Source organism: Homo sapiens, chromosome 3 (assembly GCF_000001405.40).
Source record: "Homo sapiens chromosome 3, GRCh38.p14 Primary Assembly".
NCBI lineage: Eukaryota > Metazoa > Chordata > Mammalia > Primates > Hominidae > Homo > Homo sapiens.
This window is the reverse complement of record NC_000003.12, coordinates 149428874-149447971: the sequence shown is the minus strand read 5'-3', so window position 1 is coordinate 149447971 and position 19098 is coordinate 149428874. Positions and strand designations below refer to the sequence as shown.

Below are 19098 nucleotides of genomic sequence, written 5' to 3'. Positions count from 1 at the left end.
ATAGGTATTCGTGTAGCTATGGTCACCACAAATCTTTGTCCCTCCAAATATTAACCAGGATTTATTTGGTTCTTACTAAGTCCCAGTCATTGTTCTAAGTGTTTGATAAGAATTACATCACTTAGTTCTCATAACAACTTTATGGAGTAGGTAATATTATTATACCCTATATACAGATGGGGAAATGTAAGCACAGTAAGCTACCCAAGGTAATGCTTTTAGAAAGTGGTGGGCTGGGATTCAAGCCTAGGTAGTCTGTTTCCAGAGTGGTTAGCCTACTGTAATACCCTGCCTTCCCAATAAAGAGCAAGCCTCTGTGTCATAATCACTGAGTTTAATAAATATGTGTGGAATTGAATTAAATGAAAATATTTTTGGCAAAGAGTCTTGCAACCTCTGTATGTTTTCAACACACAGTGGGCCTTGATTTCAGGAAAATGTCTGAAAATGAAACATGCAGGAAAATGACTGGAGGTGAGAAGAACCACATGTAGTATTAGGTTGGCGCAAAAGTAATTGTGTTTTTTGCCATTGCTTTGGCAAAAAAACGCAATTACCTTTGCTCCAACCTAATAGAAAGAACTCTGGGTTTAGAATCTAAAACCTGGCTTAAGTCCTACCCATGACACTTAGCAGCTTAGAACCCTTGGATAAAGAAATTAGGTTCATTGAGTCTCAGTTTTTTCATCTGTCAAAGAGGACTAACATTTTTTATCTGTCAAAGAGGACTAATCTGCTTCAAATGGTTGTTGTGAAGGTTAAATAAGGCAATATGGCCAGGCACGGTGGCTCAACGCCTGTAATCCCAGCCCTTTGGGAGGCTGAGGCAGGCAAATCACTTGAGGCTAGGAGTTCAAGGCCAGCTGGGCACAGTGGCTCACACCTGTAATCTCGCTACTAGGGAGGCTGAGGTGGGAGAATCGCTTGAACCCGGGAGGCAAGGTTGCAGTGAACTGAGATCATGCCACTGGACTCTAGCCTGGGTGACAGAGCAAGACTGTCTCAAATATGTAATATGTTTGTGTGTGTGTGTGTGTGTGTGTGTGTGTGTGTGTGTGTGTGTGTGTGTGTGTTTCTTTCCTTTTTTTTTGAGCTGGAGTTTCACTCTTGTTGCCCAGGCTGGAGTGCAATGGCACAATCTCAGCTCACTGCATCCTCCGCCTCCCGGGTTCAAGTGATTCTCCTGCCTCAGCCACCCAAGTAGTTGGGATTACAGACACGTGCTATCACTCCAGGCTAATTTTGTATTTTTAGTAGTGACAGGGTTTCTCCATGTTGGTCAGGATGGTCTCAAACTCCTGACCTCAGGTTATCTGCCCGCCTTGGCCTCTCAAAGTGCTGGGATTACAGGCATGAGCCACCACGCCTGGCCCATGTGTTTTATGTATTACAAAGCATCATACAAATACTTGCTTAATTTAAAATAAAATTATAGAAACTATATATTTTTAAAAATTACTAGAAAAAAATGGAATGGAAAAAGAAAAATGTCTTATTTTCCTTGATTGAAAATATAATTTCAGTTCCAAGGATAATGACTTTGTGGGTCTTCAGCAGACTTTGTATTTTATACATCAGATCTGGCAGTTTCCAACTTGGCAGTTAGACACAGGGTTCAGATTTCAACAGCAGTTTTATTCCAGTGGGGGCATCTGAAGAGGGTGAAGTAGAGGTAGTTTTTCTAACTCTTCTCTAAAACTGAACATTTTAATTTTGATTTATTTAATCATGTTCATGTTTAGACAAAACCTTGCTCCTATAGAAAAGTCTGACTTTCTCTGTTTGCCCCATAGCGGTAATAAAGTCACCCTGAAAATACTTCGTTTGGCTGTGGATCTCAAGTTTAAAAGTTTCCCCTCTTACAGAAGGAATAGAGTAGAAAAATTGTAACTTTAAAACAGAAATATCTCTATCCAAAGATTGCTGGGACCAAAATGGCATCCTTTATACAATAGACTAATTTTTTTCTTTTTTGATTTGTTTCTCTTTTAGGAAAATGATCATTTCAGGAACTGTGAAGTGTTAAAGAGAAAGTATATTAGAACTATTATGAAGTCACAGGAGAAGCCATATGAGTTGTCAGTGGTTGCTGTCTTTGCTACCCTTTCTTAATGATGCTGGCTCCCATATCTCAGCTTCAACTAGAGTCCTTTCATAGAATTGTCCCTCTCCCTCTCCCTCCCCCTCCCTCCCCCTCCCCCTCCCCCTCTCCCCACGGTCTCCCTCTCCCTCTCTTTCCACGGTCTCCCTCTGATGCCAAGATGAAGCTGGACTGTACTGCTGCCTTCTCGGCTCACTGCAACCTCCCTGCCTGATTCTCCTGCCTCAGCCTGCCCAGTGCCTGGGATTGCAGGCGCGTGCCGCCACACCTGACTGGTTTTCGTATTTTTTTGGTGGAGACGGGGTTTCGCTGTGTTGGCCTGCCTGGTCTCCAGCTCCTAACCGCGAGTGATCTGCCAGCCTCGGCCTCCTGAGGTGCTGGGATTGCAGACGGAGTCTCTCATTCACTCAGTGCTCAATGTTGCCCAGGCTGGAGTGCAGTGGCGTGATCTCGGCTCGCTACAACCTCCACCTCTCAGCTGCCTGCCTTGGCCTCCCAAAGTGCCGAGATTGCAGCCTCTGCCCGGCCGCCACCCCGTCTGGGAAGTGGGGAGCGTCTCCCTGGCCGCCCATCTTCTGGGATGTGAGGAGCCCCTCTGCCCGGCTGCCCAGTCTGGGAAGTGAGGAGTGCCTCTTCCCGGCCGCCATCCCGTCTAGGAAGTGAGGAATGTCTCTGCCCGGCCACCCATCATCTGGGATGTGAGGAGCGCCTCTGCCCGGCCACGACCCTGTCTGGGAGGTGAGGAGCATCTCTGCCCGGCAGCCGCCCCGTCTGGGAAGTCAGGAGTGTCTCCGCCCGGCAGCGCCCAGTCTGGGAGGTGGGGGGCAGCCCCCACCTGGCCAGCCGCCCCGTCCGGGAGGGAGGTGGGGGCACCTCCGCCTGGCCGCCGCCCCGTCCGGGAGGTGGGGGGCGCCTCTGCCCGGCCGCCCCTTCTGGGAAGTGAGGAGCCCCTTTGCCCGGCTGCCACCCCGTCTGGGAGGTGTACCCAACAGCTCATTGAGAACGGGCCATGATGACGATGGCGGTTTTGTCGAATAGAAAAGGGGGAAATGTGGGGAAAAGATAGAGAAATCAGATTGTTGCTGTGTCTGTGTAGAAAGAAGTAGACATAGGAGACTCCATTTTGTTCTGTACTAAGAAAAATTCTTCTGCCTTGGGATGCTGTTAATCTATGACCTTACCCCCAACCCTGTGCTCTCTGAAACATGTGCTGTGTCCACTCAGGGTTGGATGGATTAAGGGCGGTGCAAGATGTGCTTTGTTAAACAGATGCTTGAAGGCAGCATGCTCGTTAAGAGTCATCACCACTCCCTAATCTCAAGCACCCAGGGACACAAACACTGCGGAAGGCCGCAGGGTCCTCTGCCTAGGAAAACCAGAGACCTTTGTTCACTTGTTTATCTGCTGACCTTCCCTCCACTATTGTCCTATGACCCTGCCAAATCCCCCTCTGCGAGAAACACCCAAGAATGATCAATAAATACTAAAAAAATTAAAAAAAAAAAAAAACGAATTGATGGTGTGTGTGTGTGTGTGTGTGTGTGTGTGTGTGTGTGTGGCTTCTCAAAGTAGGAATCATATTCATATTTACCTTACTCTGCATTGTTCATATAAACACTCTGGGATCCACACTGGTAGCCCCATAGCCAGCCTCTAGGAGCATCTGGCCAAAACTCCTCCAGGTCCACTAGAGTCCAGTGGGATTCTGGGTGGATCCTTTGGGCGTTCCATAGGAAATTATTTCTGTTTCTCCTATGGCTGATGCAGAGCTTTCTGTCTCTCTCCCCTAAGTGCCTTCCCTACCTGCTACAGAAACTCCATCTTTTCTGAGGCTTCCTGGAACCAAAGTTCTGGCTTGAATGACACTGACTTGGGATTATGTTTGAGTGACTTCCCCACTGTAGAGCATCAGCTATCCCATTACTCTTCTCTACCTCAGTGTCTAGGTCCCATCGAGAGTCCCTACACTCTTTGAACCTATAGGCAGTGTCCCTCCTTAGGAGCTAAGAACTGGAGAAACAGGACCCTTGCCATATCAGTGTTAAACAAGAGGGCTGCCATACTAGGAGTAGCCTCTTATAATAAATAACAGGGGGATCTACTATGCCTGGAGGAGGGAGATGACACCACCTGTTAGTCACCGCCACTCAGTCGTATCTGGGGGCTGGCATGGTAATTAAGTGCTCCATATCATACCATGTTTCCTGTAACCTTTGTTCAGTTCTTAATAATTATATCATGCTTTTTTTTTCAACTTAGATAAGAACATATCACAGGTGTATTTGTAAGCAAAGTTCTTTTTTGAAAAAAGATAGGTAATCAATTCATGGGAAACCAATGTTATGAACTCAAAAAAGGAGTTAATATAGGCAATGTTTTCTACTTGTGTTTATATTTTGAAGTTAGAGATTAGTGACCTTAACTGGAAGCTTGGGATCATTGCCTTCACAGAGTTCGGAGCACAGTGAGGATATTTTTGTAAGCACCATGCAGGCAAGAGAGACTAAAACGCCAGTTTGTGCTTATAATTTGCATGGTAAGGTTTGGATCCAGACAGAACCAGAAAAGACAGTTGGGGAAGGTGACTTCATCAAAATCTACATTTCATATTCCTGCACACAGCCATTTGGAAAGAAAAAAAACATACATGAACAAACAAATGAACAGACCCGTTTTCCCATATGTCCTAAGAACCTCCCACTGCATTGTTGTTCTTTGCCCACGCAAATCTCTGTGTGGATAATATTTTAGGTAGTAGTCAGGCCTATGAATACAAGACAGTGGCAATGCAGGAAAAGAAGTATGTTTTACTGCTGCTAAAAATAACTAGAGCAAGCCACACTTCAAGATGACTAATCAGCTCAGTGTTCTCTAATACAAGCTAATTACTTCCTTCTTTTTAATTGCCTATTTATATTTGTAGCCTTCACTTATTACTGAGGGTTGATGTAAAAATGTCATGGGGGTTGGCTGGTAGAATGTGTCACATGAAATAATGTGGTTTGAATGGAAGAATCTTTCTAATTAAAAGATTAATTAGAGAAAAGTGATACATGGGAAGGCAAACTGGCAGCTTTCAGATCCTGAAGAGTCACATATGCACACTTTAGCTTATTATTGAACGGCTTGAATACAGTTATAAAAGCTAAAGTCTTTATTTTTCTGGGGGTGGTACTGCTTTTAATAAAACTTCAAATTATCTGTGATTCTCTTATTCCTGGCGGAGAAATTTGAATGTGCTTCTTAATAGAATCGAAATACACATAGTAAAATGTTAAGATCAAGTACTTCTAAATAACTTTTTGTTTTTCAGTTGTAGAATCTTCTTTATTAAATTCGTTTGTTAAATTTACATTTATTCTGTGTTGCTTCCAAAGAAATATCCATGGAAAGTTAAAAATGCAAGGAAACCATGGTTACACTCATCAGAACAGGGTTACAGAATTACTACCATATATCTTCACTATCTTCAGAAGATTTATTCTGCATGATTGATTGCAATTATATGTAGCATAAGGCTACTGTGAGCTAATCACATACCTATATACAAAGTAACATTAAGTCATAATTTCTAGAGCTGAAAATCTGGTGCACCAGAGGCTGAACGTTTGTGACTGCTGGAGATTGTTATTTTGGAAAGTACCATGATTTGCTCTGTAATGATGGGACTATACACAGACTGAAAGTAGCTGGCATTCCTGTCCAATGTGGAACTCTACAGTACACATATTTGAGACTAGAGAGGAACAAAAGGAAAATAAATGAGTAGACAATATGTATAAGAAAAGATAAAAGGAATTAAGATGGTTTGGTTCAGAGATGAGAAGGCTAAATGGAAGTTCAATTTTATGAAGCCTCTACTATTGTATTGTCAATATTGGGAGGTGGCCACTTTATCTTTTCAGAACTGTGTCTCCTGAAAGCCATGGCTCCGAAGCCATCTTTAAGGCAGATTGTGATGGCTAAACTACATTGTGACATGAAATGCCAAGAATGATGGGCTCTTAACATGCAAGAGTAGATACAAAGCAAGCTACTGGCTTGAATAATGATTTTTGTAGTGACTTAAAGGATTTCATGTCCAAATTTGGATTGTTTCATGTTTATTATTGTTAGCATTACTGGGTGCCTACTAAGTGCATGACATTTGGGGAATATGACAGTGTCATTTAGCTATTTATGTAATGAATGTATTCAGGGAATATACAAAATGCCAACACTTACTGAGTATTTTTTGTTAATGTTTTGCTTTTTGTGTATATTAACCCATTCACTCAATATAATTGCCCTGTGAAATAGGTACAATTGTATTTCTCATTTTACAGATAAGGAAATTGTAAAGGCTACATAACCAAAATAACCAAATTACTGACAAAGAATAAATTACTTCTATAAAGTCTCATAAATAGTAAACGGCATAATTTGGATTCAAACCCAGGCATTCTGGCTCTCTAACACTTGTGCTCTTAATCTCTCAACTATATTGATTAGATACATATATATATGATTATATACACATACACACATATGCATATATATGGATAAAGAGTAATTTAAAATTTCACATGCAGAATTTGATCAAATGTAGATGGCCTACAGATGCCTATTCTGAAAGCTGATATTAGTTAATAATTACTATGAGGATAGAATACTGTGAATTACCTCCTTAATAAAGAACAATTATCCCTCCATCCCTCCTTCCCTCCTTCTCTCCCTTCCTTCCTTCCTTTCTTTCTTTCTTTATTTCAGAAGGTTTGTGATTCTTGTTTTGCTTGTGAAACATAGTCTTTATATTTTGAAATAAAAAATCCTACCCTCTTTCCTAGTTATTTTAAAGGGTGGTAATTATTGTGATTGTACCTGTCATTGAACTTTGAAGTGTTACTGATTTGGTGGCTCTGGTTCTAATTATAACATAAAACCAAAGAAGGTTTATGACTTCCAAGGGTGATAAGGTCTAGAGATAAGGCCTCAGAAGAATATCCTTACTGACAGAAATTCAAACTAGTTAGGATAAATTGTGAGATCACTCAGTATCATCTACTTTTAGAGATTCTTTGTGACTTGCTACTGTCATTCTGTGAACTTTAGCCATACTGAATTCCTTGGGCTATTAAAGCCAAAGTAAGGAAAAAAATTCAAACCATATAAAATATAGCAAAAAATATGACTGTATAAGCAAATATTTAGCCAAAAAAATACATGTCTAAGTTGTTTGTTTGTTTTGGGAATGAAATAACACTTTATGGTTAAAATTGCAATTCTCTTTTTATCTTTTCCCAGCCCTAATTCCATTCATCCCTTCCCAGGGTTAATGCTGTCACAAATCTGCTGTGCATCTTTTAAGTCTACATTTTCATATATTTTTCTATTTTTGTATGTAAAAACAAACTCTCTCTATATATCTGTATATATATAGAGAGAGAGTATAATATATAGAGAGAGTATATGTATATAGAGAGAGTTTGTTTATATATATAATAGAGAGATAGAGAGAGAGAGTGTGTGTGTGTGTGTGTATATATATATATATATATATATAGAGAGAGAGAGAGAGAGAGAGAGAGAGAGAGAGAGACAGAGAGAGTATTCATGGAGGGTTAGTTTCAGGAACCCCCAATCCCATGGATACCAAAATCCACAGATGCTCAAGTCCCTGATTTAAAATGGCGTAGTATTAATGTTTGCATTAATCTACATGTAATCTACACATATCCTCCCATATACTTTAAATCATCTCTAGATTACTTATAATACCTAATACAATGTAAATGCTGTGTAAATAGTTGTTTCACTTTATTATTTAGAGAATAATGATGAAAAAAGAAAAAGTCTGTACATGTTTATCCACGTTTTTCCCTGAATATTTTTGATTCCAGTTGGTTGAATTAATGAATGTGGAACTCACAGATACTGAGGGCTGACTATGTATAATATATTTTGTGATTTTTGTTACACTTTTGCATAAATATTATGTTATACATGTCATTTTGGACCTTACTTTTTTATTTAGTAATATTTTATAATATCTAACCCTGATGGTATGCAGTTCACATGAATAAAATAAATTTTATTAATGCATCTTCCTAATGGTAGACATATAGAATCTTTCTAGTTCTTTAGTTCCTATATAGTTTTAAAAATTGTGTTTATAAACATCTTTGTCCTAATTTTTTATCCTTATGCACATGTGAGAAAATTTTTCTGGAACATTTACATAGAAATGGACATGATGGGGAATAAGTGTGTTTTTAATTTTACTAGAAATTGGAAAATTGTTTTCTAATGTAGCTGATCTAATTTACACTACACTCCCATCATGAGTGTATGAAAATTCTGGTTTCTTTACCAATACTCAGATTTTTAAGATTTTGTAAATCTGATAGATGCAAAATGGTATCTCAGAAACTGACTTCCTTTTAAAGTGAATATAAACATACTACACAATTATCACTAGAATAACTACAAAGTTTTACAAGGTAGGAAATTAAACACTCTTATATAACATGTTCTGCATACTTCTCCATTTGATAAAGGTAACATATCTTATGTAATGAATCTCCTAGTGTTGAACATTTCTTCTTTTCCTTTAGGATAAATTCCTAGAAGTAGCATTCCAGGGTTAAAGGGTATGAATGATTTAAAAAGGGCCAGATAGTAAATATTTTAGGCTTTGTGAGACAGATGGTCTCTATTGTAACTATTGTAATGTGAAAGCAGCTATTATACTATGTAAATGAATGAGCCTGACTGTGTTCCAATAATACTTTATTATGGACACTGAATTTGAATTTTGTGTAATTCTCACATATCACAAAAAGTTACTATTCTTTTGATTTTTTTCCACTATTTAAAATGCAAAAACCATCCTTATCTCATGGGCTACACAGAGACAGTGGTGGCCATAGGTTTGTCAGAGATCTTAATTGCAGATTCTGATAGAATATCAGAACTGGATGAAACCTTAGGAATAAATTAGAGCAACTTCTTCCTTTTAAATATTAAAAAAAATAAGGACTAGAGAGTGTAAAATGTTGACCAAGTTTTCTGCATTATTCATGGAGACATGGAATATCAATAGTACTGAGTCAGAAGAAAATAATTTCATCACCTAAAGATGAAAAGAACAACCCCAAAACACTTAAAAAGGTATGTTTAAAGTAGGTAAAAGGTATGCAAAATTTCTGCATTCTTTCTTTTTTGTTTTAATTTTATTTATTTTGAGAAGGAGTCTCACTCTGTCACCCAGGCTGGAGTAAAATGACATGGTCTCGGCTCACTGCAACCTCCGCCCCCCGAGTTCAAGTGGTTCTCCTGCATCAGCCTCCCACGTAGCTGGGATTACAGGTGCCTGCCACAATGCCTGGCTAATTTTTGCATTTTTGGTAGAAATGGGATTTTACCATGTTGGCCAGGCTGGTCTCGAACTCCTGATCTCGTGATCCGCCCTCCTCGGCCTCCCGAAGTGCTGAGATTACAGGAGTGAGCCACTGCACCTGGCCCACTTTCTGCATTATTTCTTACAACTGCATATGAATCTATAATTATCTCAAGAAACATTTCAATTAAAAATAAAGATATGTTTAAGCTAACAAAAATCAAATTTTCTAGAAATCACATCCTGCCCTAGGAAGAAATCAGGAAACAATCTTTCATTCTAAATAGCATTTAAAATGTCTCATTAGCAATCATTTAATTTCTTGATGTAGAAATCAATGCTATAGCCTGTAACAGTTAACCTCATAGATGCCAAATACCGAGACAGCACCAAATTTACATCCCCTTAGAAATAAGCATGCCAGGGAACTCAATGACTCAAGTCACTGCCCTTTATAAAGCCTGTTAAGGGAAGTTTTATAGCTAACTCTTGTTAAGAATAAACCTGGTCAATGAAGGCCACTCCTAGGACTCTTGAAGCCAACAGGGAAACCTCTGTGCTGCATTCCCTGTTGGCAGTCATGACAGTACTTTGCACTGCAGTAGAACACCCTGTGACCATCTTTATGTGACAAAGGCAAAGATAGAGAAAACTTCAGTCTCTGTGGAAATGCAGTCATGCCTACTACAGTGGGGAAAAGCCCAATTCCAAACCATCTGCAATGGAAATAAAATACCAGATGTCTCTTTGCTATTGGTAGGTCTCCTGTAGAAGACAGGCCTATATGGGATCTCCAAATAGGCCCACATATTTTGGAATTTTTAAATTATATACCAAAGAAGCAAGTACAAAAGGAGGATTTCTTCATACATTGGTTAGAGAGTCTCACAGTTTCCTGCAATCTAAAAATTGATTTAAGAATTGTTTGATTGATCGATGTATTTATCTATTGACTAGTTCATTTATCACACAACATCGTTAGGCAGGAGCCATGAACCTTGCCCTGAGCTAAGCACTACTTGAAGTTACAAAACTTCATTTCAGGAAGACATAGAAGTATCTGACGTTCTGGGTCTAAATGTGGCTAGGACACATCCACCTGCAGCAACCAAATTTCCATTCACTAGTTCAACAGTGATAAGGTAGAATAAAGTAACTCAAATATGTTTTAAGGTTCTCTAAAGCCTTCCAAAACTGTGTGCATAGTCTTTTCTGTTAGGATTCTCTGCATGGATAGATGGATATTTTGTGTCTCTACAGCAATGCAGACTCCCAAATAAACTTTCACAAGTTACCTCATTTAAACCTTTCAAACTTTTCTTAAGTAGTCTTGCAGAGTGAATATTGTTTATCATATTTGAATTTAAGGAACTTACTGATGTTTACCCAGTTCTTGAAGCAACCAGTCATTGAGGCAAGCAGTATAACAGAAATAAAACATGTACTTTGGGCTCAAACTGTCCTGAATTTGAATTCTGTGTTTGCATTTATAACTTAAGGCAGCTTGGACAAATTACTCAGCCTCCTTGAGTCTCAGCCTTCTTGTTTGCTAAATAAGAATAATGTCCATTGCAATGAGTTGTTATGAGGATTAAATGAGACAGGTTCTCAGTTTTCCCACTATAGGCTCAGTGTTAGAGGTTAAATTGTGTCACCTTCAAAATTCATATATAGAAGTTCTAACTCATGTACCACAGAATGTGGGCTTCTTTGGAAATAAGGTTATTACAGATGTAATTAGTTAAGATGAGGTCATTAGAGTGGGCCTTAATCCAATAAGACTGGTGTCCTTAAAGGGGAAATGTAGACACAGAGGCATACATACAGGGAGAACACCATGTGAAGATGATGATGCAGGGCAGGCTAAGCCCCTTGGGGATGCAGGGCAGGCTCTGCCCAGGAAAGAATTCAAGGGTGAGCTCTGGTGGTGGTAGACAGCAACTTTTATTGAAGCGGCAGTAGAGAGTATCAGCAGAGGTACTGCTCCCTGCAGAGCAGGGCTACCCCATAGGCAGTGTGCCCAGAGTAGCTCAGAGGCAGTTCTTCAGGCATGTTTATATCTACTTTTAATTATATGCAAAATAAGAGGAAGATTATGCAGAAATTTCTAGAAAAAGGGTGGTAGCTTCTGAGTCATCAGGTCGTTGTCATGGAAAAGGATGGTAACTTCCAGGTGCTGCCATGGCAATGGTAAACTGACATGTCACACTGGTGGGTGTGTCTTACAGAAAGCTGCTTCCACTCCATCCCTGTTTTCAAAGCTAGTCTTCAATTTGGTCCAGTGTCCGAGCCCTGCCTCCAGAGTCAGATCTTTCCTCCTGAGTTGTTCCTACCTCCTGCCTCAAAGGCAAAGATTGAGGTGATGTTTCATAAGCCAAGGAATGCCAAGGATTGCCGGCAAACCACCGGAAGCTAGGCGAGAGGACTAGAACAGATTTTCCCACAGCCCTCAGAATAAACCAACCCCTGACCAAGCTTTGATCTTGGACTTCTGGCCTCCAGAATTGTGAGAATACATTTCTATTACTGGAGCCATCTAGTTTGTAGTACTTTGTTGCAACAGCCCTAGCAAAAGAATACACTCCGGATTCAGTTTTCTCTCTTCAGAGTCAGTTGCTATCTGTCTTGCTTCTGAGCTTTCGTACTTTTGTTACTGTTGTTCTCTCCCATGTTCTCCACAGCCTTATGGGCTTATGCTTGAATACAAAACAAAACCCAAACCCTTAGGTGTTATTTAAGTGAAGACTTGGAAAGGGATGCATCTAGCTCTTTGCACTCCATTTGCCATTTTCCCTGGAAGTGTGGTTTTTAAAAATTATTATTTGCAAACATGGATCCTTCCTTTTCTCTCCAGTATTTTCTTAGAGAAACAAAATGCCATTGTTAAAAAAAAAATTAAAATTTCTCCCAAGGGGCTAGGTTCTGCTTGGAGGAAGAAAGCAAATCATTTTTAATGGGGAGATATCTCACTAACATCTTTCTTCTGTTTAAAATAGATGAAGACAGTTAAAACTCTAGACAGGTAGGGGTGACAGGGAAGTGAGAGAGAGTTGGAATGTCCATATTTTTGCCTGTAGAAGATACTTCTATCTCCCAGGAAGGAGATTCGAACCTGTAAATCTGATTAATGATTGCTGCAATGTCTATTTAGCCAGCAAGTACTCAAAGTCGCAAGTCAGAAAAAAAGCAAAGATATGACAAGGCATATTTAAAACCCATTTGATAAGGACATGATTACAGGTTTAATAAGATATAAATGATTGAGTGGGTCAGATTTCATTTTGGGTATGTCAACAATTATTGCAGTAAGGATTTCCCAGACTGGAATTAATTGAAGTTGTTATTTTGACAACTTAAAAATGGAAAGTTCTTATGTTACATCTTAAAAATTCCTGAAGGCTTAATGAGAATTTTCTTCATCTGAATAAATACCATTATTTATTTATTTGTTTATTTTTGAGACAGCTTCTCACACTGTTGCCCAGGCTGGAGTGCAGTCATGTGATCTTGGCTGACTGCAGGCTCTGCCTTCTGGGCTCAAGTGATTCTCCTGCCTCAGCCTCCCGAGTAGCTGGGATTACAGGCGTGCACTGCAATACCTGGCTAATTATTGTATTTTTAGTAGAAATAGGGTGTCACCATATTGACCAGGCTGGTCTTGAACTACTGATATCAAGTGATCCACACGCGTCAGACTCCCGAAGTGCTGAGATTACAGGTGTGGACCACTGTGCCCACCCCCCATTATTGTTATATGGCCTTCTGAATGATAGTAACAGAAATAATAAAACACTCTACTTACTGAGCATTAATATGTGACTATGTTTGTTATCTATTGCTGAATAAAAAACCATCCCAAAGTATAGTTACTTAAAACAACAACAAATTATTTCTCACAATCCCAAATGTTGTAGGGGCAGTTCTGTTGGTTTCACCTGAAATTACTCATGCGGCTGCATTCAGCTGGCAGATTGACTGAGGACCAGAATCAGCTGAGGCTGTGGTCAGGGTACCTCAGTTCTCCTCCATGTGGCTAACTTGGGCTTCCTTACAGCATGGCAGTCACAAGCATTCCAAGAGGGATTATTTTAAAGGAGAAGAAACAGCCTTCTTAAGGACCAGGCTTAGAAGTCCCAGAATCATTTTCACTGATTCTGGCCATCAAAACTAGGTCACACTTAAAATTTCCTCAATTGATCTCAATACTTGTTGAATATTATCTCTGGGAATAAATTTCACTAGATTCGCCTTCTATACATTCATATATCTATATTTGTCTTTTTCTTTTTTAAGACAGTTTTGCTCTGTCACCCATGCTGGAGTGCAATGGCACAATCTCGGCTCACTGCAACCTCCACCTCCTGGATTCAAGTGATTCTCCTGCCTCAGCCTCACGGGTAGCTGAGATTACAGGTGCCTACCACCACGCCCGTCTAATTTTGTAGTTTGTAGTAGAGACGGGGTTTCACCTCGTTGCCCAGGCTGATCTCGAACTCCTGACCTCAAGTAATCCGCCCGCCTTGGCCTCCCAAAGTGCTGGGATTACAGGCGTGAGCCACTGCACCCAGCCTATTTGTCTTATTTTTAAAAGGGGCAAAAACCATTTTGAGTTCTGTAATCATGAAAGTCATTTAGAAGTACATGTAGTAAGTGTGTTGTAAGTACTGCCGAATTATTAATTTCCACAGCAATAACTAAACATGCCACTTGCATCTTGACCCAAATTTTGTAAATGTCCCCATGCAAATTTTAGAAACTAGAAGAAAAAGAAATTATCAGGCTGCCCAGATTCAAGGTGGAAGGCAATAGACTCTACCAGTTGGTGTGAGGAGTTGTATGTGTGTACCGGGTGGGAGGGATTATTTGGAGGCCATACTGGAGACTATCTACCACAGACAGGCACTGCGCTTACTGCCTTATATGCAACTTCTTATTTAATCCTCACAATAACACTGTCAAATGATTACAATTGATCTTTGAACAACGTGGGTTTGCGCTCTCTTCCTTGGCGCTGCCTATGCAGTTGGCAGCCATCTCCCACTTAGCATCAGGGCCACACTCGGGCTCCTCACGAAGCCCATGATCATCAAAACCAGGACCAAGACGTTCATCTGGCATCAGTCTGACTGATATGTCAAAATTAAGCAGAAACCCCGTGGTATTGACAACAGTGTTCGTAGAAGATTTAAGGGCCAGATCTTGATGCCCAACATTGGTTATGGGAGTAACAACAACAATAACAAAAAAGCACATGCTGCTCAGCGGCTTCTGAAAGTTCCTGATCCACAGTGTCAAGGAACTGGAAGTGCTGTTGCCGTGCAAGAAATCTTACCGTGCTGAGATCACTCGGTGTTTCCTCCAAGAACAGCACAGCTATGGTGGAAAGAGCAGCCCAGCTGGCCCTCAGAGTCACCAGTCCTAATGCCAGGCTGTGCGGCGGGGAAAATGAACAAACAGCTCATGTCTACGTTTTATTTGTGTTTAAATACAACCATAGGAACTGGAAACAAACAAACAAACACGGGTTTGAACTTTGTGGGTCCACTTATGTGTGGATTTTCTTCTGCCTCTGCCACCCCTGAGACAGCCAGATCAAGCCCTCCTTTGTTTCTTCCTCCTCAGCCTACTAGGCATGGAGATGAGGAGGTTGAAGACCTTTATGATGACCCACTTTCAATTAATGAATAGTAAATATATTTTCTCTTTCTTATGATTTTCTTAATAACTTTTCTCTAGCTTACCTTAGTGTAAGAATATAGCATATAAAACATATAACACACAAAATATTGAGTGTTTATTTTACCGGGAAGCCTTCTGCTAAACAGCAGAACTATTGGTAGTTAAGTTTTGGGGAAGTCAAAAGTGATACATGAAGTTTTGACTGCACAGGGGTTGGCGCCTCTAACTCTCACGTTGTTCAAGGGTCAACTGTATGGTTTTTGCCATTTATCAGTAGAGATAGACTTGATGGGCCCTAATGTTGCTTCTAATTCCTAATGTTCAACTATAGCCAGGGCTTCTCTTAGAACAAATGAAGGTCTTGCCTTTTTGCCAATTTTGAAAGTAGAAGGAACTGCAGATTTAAAGTTAGTGAGCTGTGGGTCTGAATCTGGCCCCATTACCTGCTAGGAGTGTTTCTTATCTTTCGGTCTAGAGTACTTCATCTGTGAAGTGAGAATGCCAGTATCTTTCTTAAAGGGTTCTGACAAGGATTGAAATACAACATATAAACTAAATATATAGGGTTGGGAAAGAGGGTCAATGGTTTTAAACATTAGCATTAGGGAACCAAATATATTTACACACGGTTCACTAGCATTCTGTTAATGATTCCTATTCATTTAGAAACAGTTTATAAAAAAAGACAAATAAGAATTGGGGGTGACTTAACCTGTTCCAGTGACCTATTTCTATGTAATAAACCACTCAGATTTTCATAGCTTAAACCAACAGCTTATTATTTCTTGTAGATCTGTAGATTTAACGGTGATAAAAACTTCTTAAAGATTTATTGTTGTGGCTTTCTTTGGAAAAGACAATCTACAGTAAAATCCTGTCTAGATTCCTCATGATTAATATCTAAAAGTGGTGTTTTCTATGAGCCCCTCCCTGTTGTCTCACTATAGTTATTTTGGCAGATTCTATCACCTGTTATATCTTTAACTAGGAAAACCTTTTGAGAATCCAAAGGGGTCCTGTGTCCCTGTATCACGGTGACCAATCTCTTTCAGAAGCTGAAGAACATCTACAGTAAAGATTGACCAATGGACTTCTGCTTCAAAAATCTGCCCTGACTCTGTGTGTGTGTCCTTAGTAACAGCTCTTAGCCTCCCTGAACTTCAGCTTGTTTCTCTGGAAAACTGGGGTAGGAGAGTGGACTGGAAGGGTCTGTAAAGTGCTTTCCTTAGCTGATATTCTATGATTTAAAAAAAATAATTTGGCACTACATAAGGCAGAAATATTTCATAATCTAATTATTGCAGAATCCTTAAAGGTTAAGAAAATGTATACTGGAAGCGGTACTGTAACGCAGAAACCTGCTGTCAGTGTAAAATGGTGTCTTGGGTTTGTATAGCACTCGAATAACTGCAATTGGCACTAGTTTATTTTTAAAATTTTTAAAAATCACCTTTCTCAGGTTGAATATACTATTTCAGTTTGATAAAAATATCCCAGTAGTATTTATTAAATAAAATCATTTACAATGGTTTCTTTCTAATTCTAAAAGCTTAATTCTATGTTAAAGTTTGACTTACATCTTGAGACCTTAAAAGATACAGAAGTGTACTCAGTTTTACAGAATAGAGGGTAAGAATTAGAGAATTATCTCTTTTGCATTACAAGCCATTTTGTAGAAAGAAAAATACAGAGCCAGAGAAAGACATTTTATTAGGAACATTAGGCCAGGTGCAGTGGCTCATGCCTGTAATCCTAGCACTTTAGGTGACTGAGGCAGGTGGATCACTTGAGCCCAGGAGTTTGAGACCAGTCTGGGCAACATGGTGAGCCCCATCTCTACTAAAAATACAAAAATTAGCTGGTTGTGGTGGTGGTGCGCATCTGTAGTCCCAGCTACTCAGGAGGCTGAGGTGGATCACCTGAGCCTGGAAAGTCGAGGCTGCAATGAGCCATGAATACACCACTGTATTCCAGCCGGGGTGACAGTGAGACCCTGTATCAAAAAAAAAAAAAAAAAAGAAAGAAAGAAAGAAACATTTTCGCATTAAGTGTTTCTCAACACAATTCTCTTGAGTGTTTCTAGGAGAGAATGACCACAATAACGAGGAGTTTAGAAATTACAGTAAATGAATAGTTAAAGGAACTAGAATGTTAGGTTGGAGAATTTGGGGGACTATACTAATTGTCATCAAACATTTAGAAGATGTCATCTGCTGAGAAAGGCATTTTGGGAAGCTCCACTTGATAGAACTAAGAAGTTACTAAACTTAATAAAAAGACTTCAGTTCAATATAAGGCATTTTCTAACAATTATAGCCCCTTTTTCAGGACTACTGCCCTTGAAATGGAAATGGTAGTGTTTTTGTCACCAGATATGTTTAAACAGAAGCCAGATGGTCCCTTGGTAGCCATGTAAAGGCCAGGAACGGATAGTGCACAAAAGAGGAAATATAAATAATTCATAAGCTTATGGAAAAATGTTCAACCACACTGGTAATTAGAGAAATGCAAATTCAAACTTTGATAAGATACCACTTTTTATTTATGAAACTGGTGAAGGTAAGAAAAATAATATTCAAGTTTGATGGAGATTTGATGAGCCTCAGCCTCCAATGTGGTGGGTGAGAATATAAATTTGTTCAGAATTTCCAAAAAGCAGTTTAACAACGTGTGTCCAAAACTTAAAAAATGTTTAAACCACACTATATGGATATTTGGCCATATTAAAGAATAATTATTAATTATTAGATGTAATTAGGGTATCATAAAGAAAAAAATGAAAAGCATTTTCATATTTTAGAGCTATGTATTAAAGTATTTACAGATAAAATAACGATGTCTAGAATTTGCTTCAAAATTATCCATTGGAGATTGGATGGGCCTGCATGGAGAGTAGATGGAAAGTGACTGCTTGTACTGTATGCTGATCACTTTTGATGCTGGGAAATAGGTACATTCTCTCCATTTTTTATGTGTGTAAAAATTTCCATAAAATGCAAAGATAGCAATAACAAAATGCCACTTCACATCCTCTGACCTAAATAATATTCCATTTAGGAGTATATCCTGATGAAGTAATCTGAATGGCATACAAAGCTTTATGCACAAAGGTAATTTCTGAGTGTCCCCAGCCTCACTATTCTGCAGTGTCACTCACCTGTGTAAACCATTCAGTGGCATCCCATTGCTGTCAGGGTTAAATCCAGAAACTTAAATCTACTTGCAAGCCCCTCTGACCTCTGCTAACCTCAAGTTGCCAGGTGTCCCCAAGCACTCTATGACCCAAAACTTTGGCCTTCTTTTAAGAAATACCTTTCATGCCCTCCACCCTCCTTTTGGTCAACTCCTACTCCTACTCAGAATCCAGGTTAATGCTGCTGCTTTAGGGAGGCATTTCTGTATCCCCAGATAGAATAGATCCTCCTACTACGTGCTCTCAAGGTATCATATACATCCCTCTTGCAGCCCTTTTCTTAATTCTATTTAAGTAGCGAAATAGATAATTATATAATTAGTTGTCCATTGACTGCCCATTCCTATCAGTGACCTCCACTCTCTTACTCACAGCTGTATCTTCCATAATTCCCATATATATCAGGAATTTAATAAATATGGGTTGGACTAATTAACTAATAAAAGTAATCTAAACACAATTCACCCAGCCAAACCTTGTGATTACTGAACTGTCCTCCTTGGTCATATTTCTGAGTGTTAAAATGGTATGGCAGATTTTTAGCTTTCCAAAGGCAATGGTACAATGCAATGCTTTAAGGAGGGGTGCCTCTTGTTCTTTTCTCCACCTCAGACTTTTGGTAGTAAATACATTTTAGAACTAGGGGGTGCTTCCTTTGCTTTATGAGAAACCACATCTCAAACTGTTATTGAATGGAAACCACCTTTATTCTATGGCTAGGACCACTTTGCACAGTGGAGCTGAACA

At 39.5% G+C, this 19098-nt stretch overlaps 1 pseudogene, besides 1 other annotated feature; it reads left to right on the top strand.

Moving 5' to 3' along the window:
* Positions 3037-3706: an enhancer, noted in NCBI's record as "NANOG-H3K27ac hESC enhancer chr3:149162053-149162722 (GRCh37/hg19 assembly coordinates)". NCBI's record gives its function as "activates a minimal SCP1, AML or CMV promoter by ChIP-STARR-seq in naive and primed H9 embryonic stem cells {active_cell/tissue: H9 hESC(naive and primed)}" and the evidence as "EXISTENCE:reporter gene assay evidence [ECO:0000049][PMID:30033119]".
* On the top strand, positions 14378-15067 carry RPL32P8 (ribosomal protein L32 pseudogene 8; annotated as a pseudogene).